The sequence below is a fragment of the Homo sapiens genome, chromosome 12, assembly GCF_000001405.40.
Source record: "Homo sapiens chromosome 12, GRCh38.p14 Primary Assembly".
Classification (NCBI taxonomy): Eukaryota; Metazoa; Chordata; class Mammalia; order Primates; family Hominidae; genus Homo; species Homo sapiens.
In genome coordinates, this window is record NC_000012.12 from 33,402,516 (window position 1) to 33,421,248 (window position 18,733).

The 18,733-nt window shown below is 35.9% G+C and overlaps 1 protein-coding gene across 2 annotated transcripts in view; it reads right to left on the bottom strand.

Annotated features, from left to right (window-relative positions):
* Positions 1-18,733, bottom strand: part of SYT10 (synaptotagmin 10) — a 65,582-nt gene that overhangs the window by 28,278 nt on the left and 18,571 nt on the right. Inside the window, exons 1-2 of one of the 2 annotated variants that reach the window (XM_011520644.4) lie at positions 5,724-5,803; positions 4,274-4,841 (exon numbers count right to left, since the gene is read on the bottom strand). In XM_011520644.4, coding sequence (XP_011518946.1) covers positions 4,274-4,807 — 534 coding nt within the window. In that variant the 5' untranslated portion in view covers positions 4,808-4,841; positions 5,724-5,803. Of the gene's footprint in view, positions 1-4,273; positions 4,842-5,723; positions 5,804-18,733 lie in introns of those variants that run through there. The other variant, NM_198992.4, reaches the window with a different exon arrangement.

Below are 18,733 nucleotides of genomic sequence, written 5' to 3' on the forward strand. Positions count from 1 at the left end.
CACTGAGGCATATACTTTATTTCTTTGTTATTTGTCTCCTTTGTTAAAGTCCTTGAGTAAAACTTGTATTTTACCAGTCTTTCTTTCAATTTTAGAACTAAACTTTGTTCACAGGAAGTTCTCAGTAAATATTTATGTAATCAAATTAAAGTTATTTGAATCAAATGCAGTAGAACAGAAAATTTTAGAGAATGAACTGTTCTAGGAAGATTTTTTTGGATAAGATCTTGCACAGGCCTTTGGACCTGTGGAAGAAAATATGACAGAGACCCTGTAATGAAAATTTGTAGGAATGAGACACTTAAGACCCTTAAAAACAACAATCACAAAAGCCGCTGGTCTGATTTTCCTAGAGTCTTATTTTCAACAATTATGAGATATAATTATATAATTAGCATGAAGAAGGAAAAAGAGAGCCATGACATTTACAACAATATGATAATAAAGCAAGTCTTAATGATTCTGAGAAGAATCATTAAAAATTAAAGATACACCAGCTAGTGCTTTTCAAACTGATAGCAAAATGGTATTCTTTTCCCCAGTAAATTTTGGTCTAAATTACATTGGAGATTTGCAATTATACAAAGGTACTCTTTAAAAATCTCATAAATGATTATTTCAAATAAAAACTTTAGTTATAAGAGTTCTTAAAATTATAAAGTTATAAGAATTATAAGAATATTTATATTTGTCATTATTGTCTCTTAATCTGATAGTCTTTTTTTTTTTTTTTTTGAGACAGAGTCTCACTCTGTTGCCCAGGCTGGTGTGTAGTGGTGCCATCTTGGTTCACTGTAGCCTCCACCTCCTAGTTCAAGTGATTCTCCTGCCTCAGCCTCCCAAATAGCTGGGACTACAGCTGCTTGCCACCATGCCCAGCTAATTTTTTATTTTTAGTAGAGACGGGGCTTCACTCACCATGTTAGCCAGGCTGGTCTCAAAATCCTGACCTCAGGTGATCCACCCCCCTCAGCCTCCCAGACTGCTGGGATTACAGGCATGAGCCACTGTGCCTGGCCAATAGTCTTTTAATCCAGTATTTATTTTATTTGTTACATAAACTCTTTTATGTCTGTGTCTGCATAGTTTGATTTGCCTCTGTAGGTTTCCGCAGGACTTAAACAAGTGAGAGCATATACTGCATTTCTTTTTATTTATTTCCTCTTATTCTCCATTTTTCTAGAAGACTCAATAATTTCTGCATGAAATTCTTAAAAATTAATGACGTGTGAATAGAAAAAGAAAGTTTCTTAATGAAATTTCCACATACATCATTTTTTTTTTATTTTTACTAATAAGAAGATGTAACATTGTTTAATGATTTTTCAAAGGCTGAACAGAAATTTTAATTAAATACTACTCTAACCATAATATTTGGCCACACAGTCTAGAAATTTAGGTTTCATTATTATGTTCCCAAACAAAAACCCAGAAGCAATATTCTGAATAATGTGTGGTTCAATGTTCTAGTTAAAGGAGAATGCCCTTTTATTAGAATAATCTAAGAATACATTTTATTTTCTGCCTACTTCTTTTTATATTCAGAATTCTGAAATGAGAATGTCTGCAGATGTGGCAGGTGGAATAAAGGTAGCCCCAAAGATAGGCATGTCCTAATTCCTGGAATCTGTGAATAATGTTACTTAAATGGCAAAAGGGGCTTTGTGGATGTGATTAAGATTATGGATTTTGAGATGGGGAGATTTTCCTAGATTACCCACTGGGGCCCAATATAAGGCAATGAATGCCTGTGGCCTCTAGAGTCAGGAAAATCCAAGAAAATGGGTCTCCCCAAGAGCCTCCAGAAAAGAATGCAGCCCTGTCAACCACATTCATTTTATTTAAGTTAGTAAAATCCATGTCAGATTTTTATTTTTATTTTTATTTTTTTTTGAGATGGAGTCTCGCTCTGTTGCCCAGGCTGGAGTGCAGTGGCTGCGATCTCAGCTCACTGCGACCTCCGCCTCCCGGGTTCAAGCAATTCTCCTGATTCAGCCTCCCAAGTAGCTGGGATTACAGGCATGTGACACCATGTCTGGTTAATTTTTTGTATTTTTAGTAGAGATGGGGTTTCACCATGCTGGCCAGGCTGGTCTTGAACTCTTGACCTCGTGATCCACCCACCTTGGCCTCCCAAAGTGTTGGGAATTACAGGCATGAGCCACCACACCTGGCCCCATGTTAGGTTTCTAACCAAACTGTAAAATGTTTGTGTAAGACTACATTTGTGGTAATTTCTAACCAAACTGTATTTCTAACCAAACTGTAAAAGATTTCTAACCAAACTGTAAAATGTTTGTGTAAGCTAAATTTGTGGTAATTTTTATAGCAGAAATAAAAACTAATATACAAGGCATATGGGAGAGTTGCAAATAAATTTAAGTAATTTATTAATATTTACCAAACAATGAATAAATATTATTAGCAATGAGAAACTAAAGTTTCCACAAGGAACTCCTACTTTTTTCTAAGTAGAACCAGTTTGGAAAACGTATGAATGTTTAAAAAAAAAAATCACAATCTCCTAGTCGATTATACTAATTTTTTAGATTTCATTGGCAGATTATTTACCTCTGAGCCTGAATATATGTACATAACATACTTTACTTTTTTATAGAAATGTGTTTGTTGCAACCCTAGTACTTAGAGCATGCCAAACATATATAGGTAAATATTTGTTGAATAAATAAAAAGTAATAATAAGACTGAGGAATCAAGAGAAATAATCTAACAATTAATTGCCATCTGCATTTGTAGAATTCTAGAAGGTGTTATTTTTAAAAACAATAAAAATTAGTATTCATCATGTTTTCCCCGTGGGAATATAGGTAATAAAATGAACACAAATGTGAAATCAAAAGAGCCCCACTGTGCATTTGAAATATAATCCCCTTTCAAAATTCCTTCTTTGTTCCTTAATAGATATTGCAATAGAGATTATGACACAAAAATCCAACAACCAAAAATGTTATAATGCTGGAATACAATATTGAACTGGCAGTATAAATTTTTAAATTAATTTATCCACATAATTTACAATGACAATATAATTATCCCACATACTGATTGTAATTAGTAAAACATTCATAAATGGAAAAACACAAGCTATTTTGAATAAAAAAATGCTTATATTTTAAATAATCCCTTGTCTCTGTTCAAAACTTCAACATTTTAAACTTGTAAGTTGCGATACAACTCAAACAAAAGACAGTAAATATGTAAAAACAACCTGATGGTAAAAAATTAAATGTCCCCATTTAAAAACTAATAAAGAAAACAATCTAACTTAAGAGATCACTTCTCTAATTCCACTTCTATAATTCTATACCGGACAAATAATCTTGAAAAAAAAAACAGATTTACAAAAAAAGAACATAATTTTTCATATAACAAAATTTATCCCTAACTTAAGTGTCTAACAGTAAGAAAATGGTTAAATGGATCATGTATTTCAACATCATGCACTAAAACAAATATAGAATGAAAGAAAATTGGCTTGAAAAAATTTAACTTAGTATGGTCTTAATATTTTAAAATATGCATAGCAAAAAGTTGGAAAGCAATATGCCAAAATATTAAATATAATTGGTAGCACTGTAGATTATTTTAATTTTATGCTATGTGTTTTTACTGTTTTTTAAATTTTCAGTACTAAAGTTGGTATTATTTTATAATCAGAAAAAGTATTTTGTAATGAAAAAGAAAAGTTTTAATGTAAACAATGATTACTTCTTGATCACTGATCATTTCATATATTGTAATTGTGTGTATTCCCTGAAAGCTTCTGAAATAATGGGTTGTTTCAGATCAAACCAAGGACTTTTCCAAATAGCATCAAAGTACATTTTAGGTTTGATCTGATGAATTATCTTAAATAATGAAGTCATTATTCTTAAAGAGTGAAATAATTTCTAAAATAATGAAAATAACAAAATTACCTTAAATAATGAAAGTCAATACTAACTGTGAGGAAACTTGGTGCTGCAGATAGGATATTTATATTACAGATGAATATTTTAAAGGAGAAATAGCCTACCAGTTCTGCTAATTTATAAGAGCTACGTTTTTTTATTCACACAATCACTAGGGTTACTAGTATATTCAGCATTAGGTGCCTGAATTATTATTAGTAGAAATGAAATTCTACCTTTGCAGGATCTTAGACATAAATTCCATAACTCTGCAAGGCTTATTCCGATAATTTGGGTAATAATTAGTCACATAGCATTGTAAGTCAAATAAAAAACAATATATTGGTGGAATTACTACTTACTGTGGTAGCACAGTGAATATCTTTCCATACTGTGGCTTCCCTGGAGAGATCAGAGACTTCAAACAAATTATCAAGAATCACTTCCCCAATCATGTCATGTCTAGAAAATCTGTCAAAATCATACACACTGAAATGTAGTTTTCGGTTGCTTAGTTGATCATATGCTACAGGAAATTGAAAAGTTTCATCAAATAGAGGATTTAAAGTCTTTCTGTGCACGCGGGTCTGAAATTTCTTTTTCCTATCTGGAAGAAGATACATCTTCACATAAGGGTCAGAAGTTCCTGTGAAGTCTTTAGCAGGGAGATCTAAAGCTTTGATAATTTTAACAACTAGAAGTTCATTTTCATAATCATACTGGAGGGTAAAGTTAAGTTTCCCACAGATTTTGACATCTTCGTTTTGGTTGCCCTCAGAGTCAACTGATTTCTGTTTGTAGAGTTCTGGCTTTATCCTCCCAATGCTGGTTGTTGTTTCTCCTCGTTGTAAAACAGGTTCTGTGCCCATGCTAAAATCAACACTGGAAACCTGCATTTGCCTCGGCAGGTGTCTTCGGAAGGAACTGTGGCTGAACACACACACATATACACAAAATCATTGAGGGAGATCATTTTGATGAGAATGTTATACAGTGACATATAAACTCTTCCCCACCCCCAGAATAGTGAAAAGATATCTATATCTACATAGATAGACACATACATATAATCAAAGAGGTACTTTTGAAAAAATAAAGAAGTACAATATTCAAAGAGAAGTCTCCTAAAATTCCAGAACATCTGAAACACTTAAATGTTCTTTTTGTTTGTTTGTTTTGTTTTGTTTTTTGTTTTTTGAGACAGGATCTTGTTCTGTCACCCTAGCTGGAGTACGGTAGTGCTATTATAGCTCACTGTAGCTTAAAACTCCTGAGCTCAAGCCATCCTCTGGCCTCCGCCTCCTGAGTAGCTGGGACTACAGGCATGTGCCACCACACCTGCCCAGTTAATTTTTAAATTTTTTGTAGAGACAGAGTCTTGCTATGTTGCCCAGGCTGGTCTTGAACTTCTGGGCTCACGCAATCCTCTCACCTCAGTCTCCCAAAGTGCCGAGATAACACAAGTGAGCCACAACACGTGGCTGGCCAATGTTAATTTTCATATGCTTTTGAAATTTTGTACTCTCAATCATAAGCACATAATTAAAAACAATTCTAAAGAAACATGATTAGCAAAAAAATTCAATATTCCACAGAAAATTGTGAATGTTATCAGTCATCTGGGTCTATCTAGATGTAAGTATTATACAGACAAAATCATTCAGATGGCTGGTTTCTTTTCACCTGGATATTTGAGTCTCATGAATTTCACATTTTAGTGACTATAGTATTAAAATTAAAAACATGTTATAGGTCCACATTTTCTTATAATGAGTTGTTTCTAATTCTTAATCTAACTAAATACATATTTACTTTTAAAAAGAATATATAGTTGTGGCAGCCAAAAATGAGTACATTTTCTTTTTTTCAACATGCTGTGGTCTTCAGAAACTCTAAGGATAAAAACAAACGTAGAATTTTAGAATTTGAGCCCAACAAAACAAGTTTTTAAAAATTCAGACTGAATTTCCTATAGTCACTATTACTACTCATCTAGTCAACATTTCCAGAATATTAAATATATAAGCTTACTAATGTCTTCTACATGTGACTTGCATTAAAGATCTGCTGCTTTTATACTTACTCCATGCTTTCTGGCACGAACTGTGCCAAACTACCCATCTCCTCAAAGCTTAGTCCCACGTCTTTTGTTATATTTCTTGTCAGTCTGTTCATCAGACTAATCATCAGTTCTTGGACTATAATTATTGTCTTGAATCTGATGGTTTCTCAGATAAATCCCAGCTACATAAACTTCTAGTCCCGTATCTCTAAATTTCTAAGGAAGATTTCTAAACAGATGTCTTCATTTCTCCCCAAATGCAACCAAACTCATCATTTTCTCCCTTTTGCTTGCAAATCGGTTCTTTATCCCACAATCTCTGACAATAGCACTAATATTTTTTATCAGTCACTCATGCTTCCAAGAATGAAGTATGCTTTGAATCATTCTCCCTTTACCCATAGGATTTACTCAGTTTTCTAAATCCTGTTGCTTTTCCTTTGAAACATCTCATATAGTTGTTCATTCCACTCCTTTTCCATTGCTGTGGAGTCCAGATCCTTATCTCCATATATTTTGCTTTCTCTAGTCACCTTCAGCTGGCTTTTTTTTTTCCTTCCAGCTCTGTCTTATACTTAATACCCAGTCAGTGCACCCTCAGAACACTCATTTCAAAATACTTTATTCACTTCTGTTGTCTATTGCAGCAGGTCTACACCTGTTACAGCACTAAGTAATATAGATGACATTGCATGATTAATATTTGATTCACTGATGCACACATGAAGCTCGATTTCTTTTTTTTCGAAATGGGTTCTCACTCTGTCACCCAGGCTGGAGTGCAGTGACACAATCTTGGCTTACTGCAACCTCAACCTCCCAGGTTGAGGCGATTCTCCTGCCTCAGGCTCCCAAGTAGCTGAGATTAGAGGCTCCCACCACCGCACCTGGCTAATTTTTGTATTTTTGGTAGAGATGGGGTTTCACCATGTTGGCCAGGCTGGTCTCAAACTCCTGACCTTAAGTGATTTGCCCACCTCCACCTCCCAAAGTGCTGGGATTACAGGCGTGAGAACATTGATTTCTTTTCTTTTTTTTTTTTTGAGACGGAGTCTCACTCTGCCGCCCAGGCTGGAGTGCAGTGGCGTGATCTCGGCTCACTGCGAGCTCCGCCTCCCAGGTTCATGCCATTCTCCTCCCTCAGTCTTCCGAGTAGCTGGGACTACAGGCGCCCCCTACCACGCCCGGCTAATTTTTTGGTATTTTTAGTAGAGACTGGGGTTTCACCATGTTAGCCAGGATGGTCTCGATCTCCTGATCTCAAAGAAGAGTTTACAAATTAGTGACCATCCATAAGTGAGATGCCTGGCCACAATACCATTTGAGAAGTAGTGACAGGAGCTGAGGATGTTGAACCTAGAAAGGAGAAGTTGAAGAATAGGGTAAAGATGGATTAAGGCTAGCTGTCTTCTAATGCCCGAAGGACTGTCATGACAGCATTTAGGAATTTATGGAAGGTGCAGGAAGATAAACTTTAGCTTAATATAAAGGAACGTTTAAAATAATCTAGAGCTATCCAACACAGTGAAGTAGTGAACTTCCTCAAGCTGGAAATGTAGAACAAAGGTTAGATGCTGAAGAAAAATATTTCTGCCTCACATAAGATTTTGGCAAGTCTAGCATCTCACTTGAGGCAGGAAACATTAAGTGTTCTCTAACCTTAAGTTTATTCTGTGATTCTCTTTCATTCTATAGTCCTTCAGTAATTTTACGGGCCTAAATGTTTACAACGCAGTATCAATATTATGTGCATTAATAGAATGGAATTTGTTAAAATCAGAATTATAATCTAAGGTGTTGCCAAGTTCATTCTCTTACGTTTAATTTGCTTATTTACTTTAACTGGACTGAACTGTTGAGCAGTAATTCAAAAAACACCATAAGAAGTGCTTAGGGCTGTATTGAAACTAATTCAACCTCTCTCTATGGTCCCCTTTCATACAGATAAGGAAGACAAACTGAAATGAGCTGTGAGAGTATCAGTAGCTCTGCTTGTTTCTACTGTACTATTCACAGACTTCTCAGACATTTGTTTAAAGGACCTATCGTTCAATACATATATTGCAAATTAAAGATTCAAACTAGTAAAGTGGTGGAAGGGTGTCACAGGTGAAAGTAAACTGCAGTGTTTTTGAAAGATCTCGTCCTCCACATTCTGCTCAGCTTCACCCAAAGAATGAGAAGCTTTAGTGTGCTGTCACAGAGAATTATATGGATAAAAGGAGAAAGTCTATGGAAAAATGATATTCTAATATCAGATTAGTGCTAAAGTATGCCAAGAATTAGAATATGAAAAAAATAATGTCAAATACAATTTGGAAGAAAATAAAAAATAATAATAAAAGATGGGAAAAAATACAGAAATATACACTAAAACATTTTCACAATAAAAAGTTAGGATGCCTTTGCTCTTCAGATGTTGCCAGTAAAAGCTAACATAGGAGTACTTACGATGTTGCAGGTATGGGTATAAATTCTTTATCAATTCAACTGAGCCTCATGTAACCCAATCAGGTACTTACTATTATGTTCCCAAATGAGGACACTGAGGCACAGAGAAGTGAGTAATGCATTCAAAGTCTTGCTGGTAAGCAGGTGCTAAAATTAAAATTTCACTGAGGCAGTCTGGGTCTAGTGGCCACACCCTTAACCACCATGCTATATATACTGTCATATTAATGGTTATCCTATTTGATTAAATTACTTCAAAAATCAATTATTCTACTAAATAACCATATAAAATATTAAAGTATCATTTTATATGCTTTTATATGTTTTCCACTTAAATATTATATATAACATAATTATGTAATCCACTAAGATCTCAAGTTTATTTGGTTAAGATAGCTTGATATGTTTTTAGAGGTGCTTTTAACTTATTTGACTTGTTACCAAAAATTGGAAGGGAGCACAAATGTTTAATTTGTAAATGAAATTATGATCAGACCATTGTGTACAAAATTCTTATCGAGTTTATAGTTATGATATATTTTATTGGAAATGACATATTTTGAAAATAACAACAAAGTAAAATTTGTAAGGCGATTTGTGGTATATCATATATTAAAAATGACTTTTAAAATTTGACTATAATTGAAAAACCGTTACTATATAGAGAAACATACTAGAACTACTTTATCTCAGGTGAGAGAATTGGCCCCTAATTGAAACTACACTGGCTTTATGACTCAATATTTTAGTTTCTGTATCTAAGTGAGTATACACATAAAAAAGTCTTTGCTAACTTAAATCTTGAAGTGATTTGTTTCTTCAGATATATGCCACTCTAATGCATTAGGCATGACATGAAATGTATTTTGACCTCGAATCTACCCCAGATATGAAAGATCAGGAGCTTAAATTAGGGTTAGCAAAGGTCAGAGGGAATTTATGAAAATAAAAAGAATATAAAAAGGAATATAAGTAGTATATATTACTGTGAAATGTTAAAAGGGTCTAGTATAATCTAGTTTGCATATTCAATATTCTTAAGATATTTAGGATATTTTATTGAATAGAAAATCTAACATTCTTGCTAAAATCACTTTCAGTTATGCAACAAGCTTTTGATTTTTGGGAGCAAAACCCCTAAGAAGTTAATTCTTTATTTTTTTATAGATTTATTCCATCATTTCACACTCCCTTGTGCTTTTCAATATTATAAAACTTCAATTTTCTATCCTCTGTGCCAAAATTAGTAATTTCTTCTTTATGACTCTGATTATATTTTTGCAGCTGTAAAGTCCCTTTATAAGAATAAAAAAGTAGTAACATTTTTGTTCTAGTAAGTCAGTGTCCTAATAATAGGGTAAATAGCACATATTCTAAGTCACAGTTTAGCTAGTCAGTTAAGACAAGCTTTAATTATTACAATGTTTAAACTATTGCCATGACAACACAGATATTTTTTTTCTTCTGGCTTTTTTTTTTTCTCTTTTAGAATGACAGTGATTAGTGGCTATATAGTCTCACACAAATATCCAACCAATCACAGTGCAAGTCATTTGACTGTTACTAACGCCATTCTTATCCTTGAAACCTAGTATTAGGTTGGTGCAAAAGTAATTGTATTTTTTGCTGTTGAAAGTAATGGTAAAAACCGCAATTACTTTTGCACCAACCTGCAGCTAAGGGTCTGACTGTTAGAAGGAAAACCAACAAACAGAAAGGACATCCACACCAAAACCCGATCTGTACGTCACCATCATCAAAGACCAAAGGTAGATAAAACCACAAAGATGGGGAAAAAACAGAGCAGAAAACCTGAAAATTCTAAAAATCAGAGCACCTCTCCCGCTCCAAAGGAATGCAGCTCCTCGCCAGCAGCAGAACAAAGCTGGATGGAGAAAGATTTGGATGAATTGAGAGAAGAAGGCTTCAGACGATCAAACTTCTCCTGGCTAAAGGAGGAAGTTCGAACCCATCCAAAAAAACTAAAAACCTTGAAAAAAGATTAGACGAATGGCTAACTAGAATAACCAGTGTATAGAAGTCCTTAAATGACCTGATGGAGCTGAAAACCACGGCACGAGAACTACGTGACAAATGCACAAGCTTCAGTAGCTGATTTGATCAAGTGGAAGAAAGGGTATCAGTGACTGAAGATCAAATTAATGAAATGAAGCGAGAAGAGAAGTTTAGAGAAAAAAGAGTAAAAAGAAATTAACAAAGCCTCCAAGAAATATGGGACTATGTGAAAAGACCAAATCTACATCTGATTGGTGTACCTGAAAGTGACGGAGAGAATGGAACCAAGTTGGAAAACACTCTGCTGGATATTATCCAGGAGAACTTCCCCAATCTAGCAAGGCAGGCCAACATTCAAATTCAGGAAATACTGAGAATGCCACAAAGATACTCCTTGAGAAGAGCAACTCCAAGACACATAATTGTCAGATTCACCAAAGTTGAAATGAAGGAAAAAATGCTAAGGGCAGCCAGAGAGAAAGGTTGGGTTACCCACAAAGGGAAGCCCATCAGACTAACAGTGGATCTCTCGGCAGAAACTCTACAAGCCAGAAGAGAGTGGGGGCCAATATTCAACATTCTTAAAGAAAAGTATTTTCAACTCAGAATTTCATATCCAGCCAAACTAAGCTTCATAAGTGAAGGAGAAATAAAATCCTTTACAGACAAGTAAATGCTGAGAGATTTTGTCACCACCAGGCCTGTCCTAAAAGAGCTCCTGAAGGAAGCACTAAACATGGAAAGGAACAACCGGTACCAGCCACTGCAAAAACATGCCAAATTGTGAAGACCTTCAAGGCTAGGAAGAAACTGCATCAACTAACGAGCAAAATAACCAGCTAACATCATAATGACAGGATCAAATTCACACATAACAATATTAATCTTAAATGTAAATGGGCTAAATGCTCCAATTAAAAGACACAGACTGGCTAATTGGATAAAGAGTCAAGACCCATGAGTGTGCTGTATTCAGGAAACCCATCTCACATGCAGAGACACACATAGGCTCAAAGTAAAGGGATGGAGGAAGATCTACCAAGCAAATGGAAAACAAAAAAAGGCAGGGGTTGCAATCCTAGTATCTGATAAAACAGACTTTAAACCAACAAAGATCAAAAGAGACAAAGAAGGCCATTACATAATGGTAAAGGGATCAATTCAACAAGAAGAGCTAACTATCCTAAATATATATGCACCCAATACAGGAGCACCCAGATTCATAAAGTAAGTCCTTAGAAACATACAAAGAGACTTAGACTCCCCCACAATAATAATTGGAGACTTTCACACCGCACTGTCAACATCAGACAGATCAAAGAGACAGAAAGTTAACAAGGATATCCAGGAATTGAACTCAGCTCTGCACCAAGCGGACCTAATAGACATCTACAGAACTCTCCACCCCAAATCAACAGAATATACATTCTTCTCAGCACCACATTGCACTTATTCCAGAAATGACCACATAGTTGGAAGCACTCCTCAGCAAATGTAAAAGAACAGAAATTATCACAAACTGTCTCTCAGACCACAGTGCAATCAAACTAGAACTCAGGATTAAGAAACTCACTCAAAAGCACTCAACTACATGGAATCTGAACAACCTGCTCCTGAATGACTACTGGGTGCATAATGAAATGAAGGCAGAAATAAAGAGGTTCTTTGAAACCAGTGAGAACAAAGCCACAACATACCAGAATCTCTGGGACACATTGAAAGCAGTGTGTAGAAGGAAATTTATAGCATTAAATGCCCACAAGAGAAAGCAGGGAAGATCTAAAATTGACACCCTAACATCACCATCTTATTCTTCAAATCTAGCACTGTCCAAGCACTCTACCAGAGAAAGAAAAACTTGCCCCATCTAACCTGGAACTCTGAGGGTAGCTAGATATAGTCAACATTAGTTGATGGCACTGGAATATAATGTATTAATATGGTCACTTTCAAATATTTACTACAAATAGATCCTTTCCTTCCAATAAAATCTGAGGCCAGAAGTTGACTATGTAAAGACGGAGCTGCTCTGGTTGACATGTGGTTAGAGTCCTGGAAACTCACTGGAATACGAGCAAATTCTTCCCGCCTATCAGAAGAAAGTGTTTAAAGACTTTTACAAAGAAAGAGATGACATGGAAAAAGTGTTGGACTAGAGTCTGCTACAGTTTGGTTCTAGCTTCCCTATGTAGTGAGGGCAAATTTAGGCACATCACTTAACTTGTTTGAACTTTATTTTTCTCATTTATAAAATGGTTCTTTTACAGTTTTTGAGATTAAATGATATATTATATATGACTTTCCCAATTATCACTTTTCATATTAACATTAGTTATTACTTTTATAATTCAGGATACAAGAAGCCAAAGTACATATGCCATAATGGTTTTGACAAGCTCAAATCTAGGCTTCCTGGGGATGCAGAGACAGCTCAAAGTCATTTCTATGTGAGCATGTCGTGGACCACCTCCCTGGTCTAAAAAGACCCCCTGACTTCACATCTCAGCATCTAATGGGAAACCTATATCCTCTTGCTTTAATTTGCAATGTCTTTACTATCTATTAAATTAACCTTAGATATTGCTTAAGAAATCACAGAAGAAAAGTAAAAATATCTTTAGCAGCTTTCTATTTAATAATTAAATGTTTAAAAGAAATTTATCTCTATTTTAATATTAAAATCTGCATCAGAAACTCTCATCATATATTCAGTTAGATCACCATTTCATAAAGAGGCTTGAATAGCAAGACGAAATCAAGTTTCTGGTAAACAAAGTTTTTATTCTGTTTCCTATTTTCTCCCGTTCAATTTGAAACAAAGACAAGAGTGATTCATTACACAAATATCTGAGCATATACCATGCAAAAAACTATAGGGAGAGTAAACTGTATAAAATGCCACAGTGGATTTTTTAAAATAATCCATTGACCTCTATATCCTTAATCCCTTTTTAGAATGTTTCTCACCTTATTACCTGGTAGAAATCTGGCTCTTCCCCAAGGACATCATTTCGTATGTGTTCCTCTCACATGGTGGCTGTTATTTCCCCATGGCCCTTATTCCACCAGCTTGCCAGTGAAGTAACAGTTTCCTCTTGACCCCCATTACCACTTCACACCATTCTCTTTTATTTGTTGTTGTTGAGACAGAGTCTCACTCTGTCACCCAGGCTGGAGTGCAGTGGTGTGATCTCAGCTTACAGCAACCTCCTCCTCCCTGGTTCAAGCAATTCCCTTGCCTCAGCTTCCCGAGTAGCTGGGATAACAGGAGTGTGCCACCACGCCCCGCTGATTTTTTTGTATTTTTAGTAGAGACGGGGTTTCATTATGTTGGCCAAACTGGCCTCCAAATCCTGACCTTAGGCAATCCACCCACCTCAGCCTCCCAAAGTGCTGGGATTACAAGTGTGAGCCACCACGCCCGGCCCACACCATTCTCTTTTAAGCTACCACACCCATCTCTGAAGCTCAAGTCAAGAAATCACACTTCCATTACCACTTACTGTTAGTGATCTATTGATATTGAAAACCCTTTCTATAAAGTCTTCATTATCTTAGTCTTCTGGTTCATGAACATTCTCTTTTACAACGTTTCTGCTCGAATTCCGACAATCTAAGTGTTTCTTCCAACCCTTTGGCCTCTAGGTTCAATGAACTCCTCTCTTCCAATGATGTTCTCTACTTAACCTCAGTCACTATCATGTAAATAGCCAGATTTTGTCATCATCAACAGCAAGCTCTTCACAACCACAATTTCAGGCATGCTTCCCTCTCATCAACACTTCCTACCTTTTCAGGTTCCTTTAAGATAGAAGAAATAATGGCATGCTCTTGTGCTGAGGATACTAATAAAATAGAGAGGGAGAAATAATAATGCAAGCATCAGAGAGGAGGATTCTTAGAAGTGACAGGAGGTAAAATGGGATCTAACCTGAAAGTGGAGGGATTCGTTATAGATAGGAGCATTGATAGTTAATGTACTATCCATCAGGAAGGCAAGTATATGGGATAGATCCTGGTAAGAGGGTTGATGATGTGGTGGGAGCCTGTGGAAGGTTTCTGCCATTTGCTTCAATTTTCTTAGTAAAATGGGAAGTAAGGTAATTAATTAAAACTGAGAAGAGGAAGAAGGTGATAGAAGTTTGAAAAAAGTGAGAAGGTATAAAATGGTGTGGTTTGAATGTCCCCTCTAAAACTCACATTGAAACTTAATCCCTGATGTGGCAGTATTGAGAGGCAGAGCCTGTACTGTAAGATATGACTAGGGCATAAGGGCTCTGCCTCATGAATGGATTAAATCCATTCATGAATCAATGGATTAATGAGTTAATAGATTTGTGGATGATCTCGGGAGTGGAGCTGCTGGCTTTATAAGAAGAGGAAGAGAGAGCTGAGCTAGCATATTAGCATACTCTGCCCCTTTGCCTTGAGATGGTCTGCACCACCTTGGGACTCTGCAGAGTCCTCACCGGCAAGAAGACCCTTGCCAGATGTGGCCCCTCAACAAGGGACTTCAAAGCTTTTCTAACTGTAAGAAATAAATTCATTTTCTTTATAAATGATCCAGCTTCTGGTATTCTGCTATGAGCAACAGAAAATGTATCAACACAATAGTCTTGTGACTCTCAAAAGATTGAGAGGGAAAACAGATTGCTGTGCAGCATTAGCTAGCTAAATGAGGAATGTGGTCATGAATTTCAAGTGGATCCATGAGAGTTGTTTATATTTTTTCCAGTCATACTCATTTGCACATGTGCAAGTGTAGAGATGACAGAGCAATGAATTCAGCTAGGGCTGTGGTTTTGCCCTGCAAATACAAAAATAAAAAGCAACAAGAGAATTGAGGGTGTACACAAGAGAGTGGCTCTGATTGACCATGGAATTGAAACTAAGAAGGAAAAAAAATAATATCAAAGATATAGGAATTATGACATAGTGACAGAATCAATGGATTGGAGGTTTTGGTGAGTTGGAAGGGTTGTCTGAGTTGGGATGTAAAGTTAAAAGAACTTGCTATTCACCCTACTTTCTCTTTGCTGCTCTGTTTCTCTAACATATTTGCAGCAAAACTCTTTGAAAGAGTTGAGGACAGTATATTCACTGTTCAAATTCTATTTAAACTTACTCTAATCAGCTTTTCATATACTGTACCACAATCGCTCTTGAAAATGTGAACAATGTCTCCCCAACATTGCTAAATTCAAACAGGTCCATTCACAATCCTCATCCCACCCGGGCTTAGCACACTCCTCTGACAGCTACTCTCTCCTGGGAGCTTACTTACTCTCCTCACTTGGCTTCCAGGTTCCGCCCTCCCAGCTTCCCTCCTACTTTACTAGCCTCTACTTCTCAGTCCACTTGGCTGTTCCTAACCTCTCAACGCTCAGAAATTTATCCTTTTTCTTCTTTTTCCCATCTACTCTCAACTATTTGATGATATCATCTCCTCGCTTAGGACATAATCTACATGCTGAGGATCCCAAATTTATATATGTATCACAGATTCACTTCAGAGTTCCAGAGTCATTACCTGGTTGCCCACTGAACTTGTCCACTTAGATTTCTAACAGAATCTTTAAATACCACAGGTCCGGATCTCCTCTTCTTGCCTCTCTAACTCACTCCATTCACAGTCTCATCTGTCTCAACTTGATTTTCCCAGACGCTCGGTCCAAAATCTTCAAGTCATTTTTGACTCTTCTTATTTCACTCACATGCCCCAGCTCATCTATCAGGATGGTCTGTTTCTTACACCCTCAAAATATATCCAGTCAGTTCTCATGAACATTATTAACTACCACTTCCCTGGTCTGAAACACCATCACCTCTGGCCTGGATTAGAGCTTCCTTAGTGGACTTTCTGCTTCTATCCATGTGCCTTCCTCAATGTCTATTTTCAATACAGCAGGCAGAATCATCTTTTAAAAACAGGTCATGCTACTCTTTTGACTTAAAACCCTCTAGTGGCTTCCCATATTACTCAGAGTAAAAGTCAAAAATAATGTAGCCCCCTCTACCTCTGCTTTTTCTCCTGGATTTCTCTTGGTGGGAACATGTAGCACGGGTTCTAGCTTCAGGGCCTTTGCAGTGCCTGCCTCCTCTACATAAAAAGCCCTCCCAGACTCCTCAAGGCCCACCTCTCTACCACTTTTGAGTCTTTGCACAATTTACCTTCTCAGCAAGATCTGTCCTGGCTACAATGTTTAAAATTACAACACTGCCTCCCATTCAGACTTTCCAATCCCTTTATTTTGTGCTATTATTTTCTGTAGGACTTATTACCTTGTAATACATCATATAACTTATAAGAATGTGTGTGTGTGGGGGGACTTTTGACAGTTTTGTGCCAAATGTGTATCAAATTTCAAGAAAAATGTCTATGACATAAGTGTTCAATAAATATTGTTGAATAAAGAAAATATTTTCTCTGAAAAATTTAGCCATGTGACTAAATAGCAATTGAATAATAATAATAAAAGCTAGAGAAACAACTGGTTTTCTTCTCAATTATTTAAAGAGATAGCTAAAATCCCTTCAGTAATTTACCTTTATTCTGTTCAAAGAATTTACAGGCAATTGGTTCTTTAATAAATTTAATGAAATAAATGTTCAGTTATTCTGAACTTAAAACCTTCAGATTATGAGAATAACATACTGCCTACTGTGCTAAGGAGGCAATTCAGTTATTCTCAAAATACTTACCTTGACTTCTCTCCATGTTTAAAAAAATATGACATAAACACCATAAAAAGAGATGATAAGCAATTGCTTTTGATCTAGCATATATTTAAATGAATGTATATGAAGTAATTAGCTTGGAAAATACTTCTTCATAGCTTCTGATCTACAGATAACGTTCTGAGAACATATTATATTACAAGAAAAGAAGTAAATATAGACTGAAGCCTTAAACATTAAAAAATTCTCAATAATAACTGGTCAAAATAATAAATCCAAGAACTTATTTTTTAGTATTACTTGATTCCTAGAAGGTCATGTGACCATAATTCTAGCTCTGGATCTCTATGCTCAGTGTGCAATTTTATACCTTCCCCTTACTTTGTAATATGTTTCTGACTCTCATGAGCTTACCTCCTGGTGAGCTCAGCTAGGTTTTGGAGAAAAATAGTGATAGCTCTACAACCAGGTTCATGTACCACTCTTGATGACACTTCATCTGTGTCTCCACATCTCCTCGACCTTACTGCAAATAGTGTATTGAAATTACCTGTTTTCAGATTTGTCTTTCACTCTCCAAGACTTTCTTCTAAATTGTGGTCTTTATTATGGCAGAGAGTATTATTCATCTTTTAATGTATTTCATCATAAACATTTACTAGGAACTAAGAAAATGTCTGCTGGAGTTTGTATGAAAATAATTTACCCTAAGATTCCTGTGACTAATAAAATCAAACTTCCCAAGCATTTATTCACATTATGTAGAAGACTAGGAGGCTGAGGTGAGAGGATTGCTTGAGGCCAGGAATTCAAGACCAGCTTAGGCAACACTTTGAGACCTCATCTCTAGAAAAAAAAATAAAAAATAATTAGCTGGGCCTGGTGGTGCGTGCCTGTAGTCCTGGCAACTTGGGAGGCTGAGGCAGGAGGATTGCTTGAACCTAGGAGCTCAAGGCTGCAGAGAGGTATGATCATGCCACTGCACTCCTGCCTGGGCAACAGAGTGAGACTCTGTATCAAAACAACAACAACAACAGCAAAAAAGAACCAAATCAGTGTTTGCGTATAAGACAATATTTATAACTACCAGAAAACAAACTTCAAATTTCAATCATTTTGTAAGGATGTGACTCTGGCCTTAGTTCAAAGAGTCATCTCTTTTCAGAAAAGAAGCAAGTGTGTACACCTAATACATTTCTTTCATGAAGGGAATTATTTAACCACCTCAATTTCCTGCAAAGCATGTTTTATGAACTTCTATTTCAGGGAGACAGATCTCAGGTCTTTCCATTGATCTGGGCAAGTGTTTCTCCTTGATACCCTAGCTAGCCATATATCTTTTAAACTCTCCCTTTTTATAATATCCCATTTTTCATTTCTTACAGTGTTTTAGCATAGATAATTTCAATTTTTGCTATCTTTTCAGAGAAATTTAATTTTTTAAAAACATTCTTACAGTAAAGTTAACTATGGAGTCTCATTTTATGTATTTTTACATAATTCTTAATTTTTCTTATAATAATGCACATTAAGCGTTCTTTTGGATACTATGCATGATGATTTTAAGCATTACGCTTCTAATCAACCATAGCTAATTGTAAATATTGTAAATTCA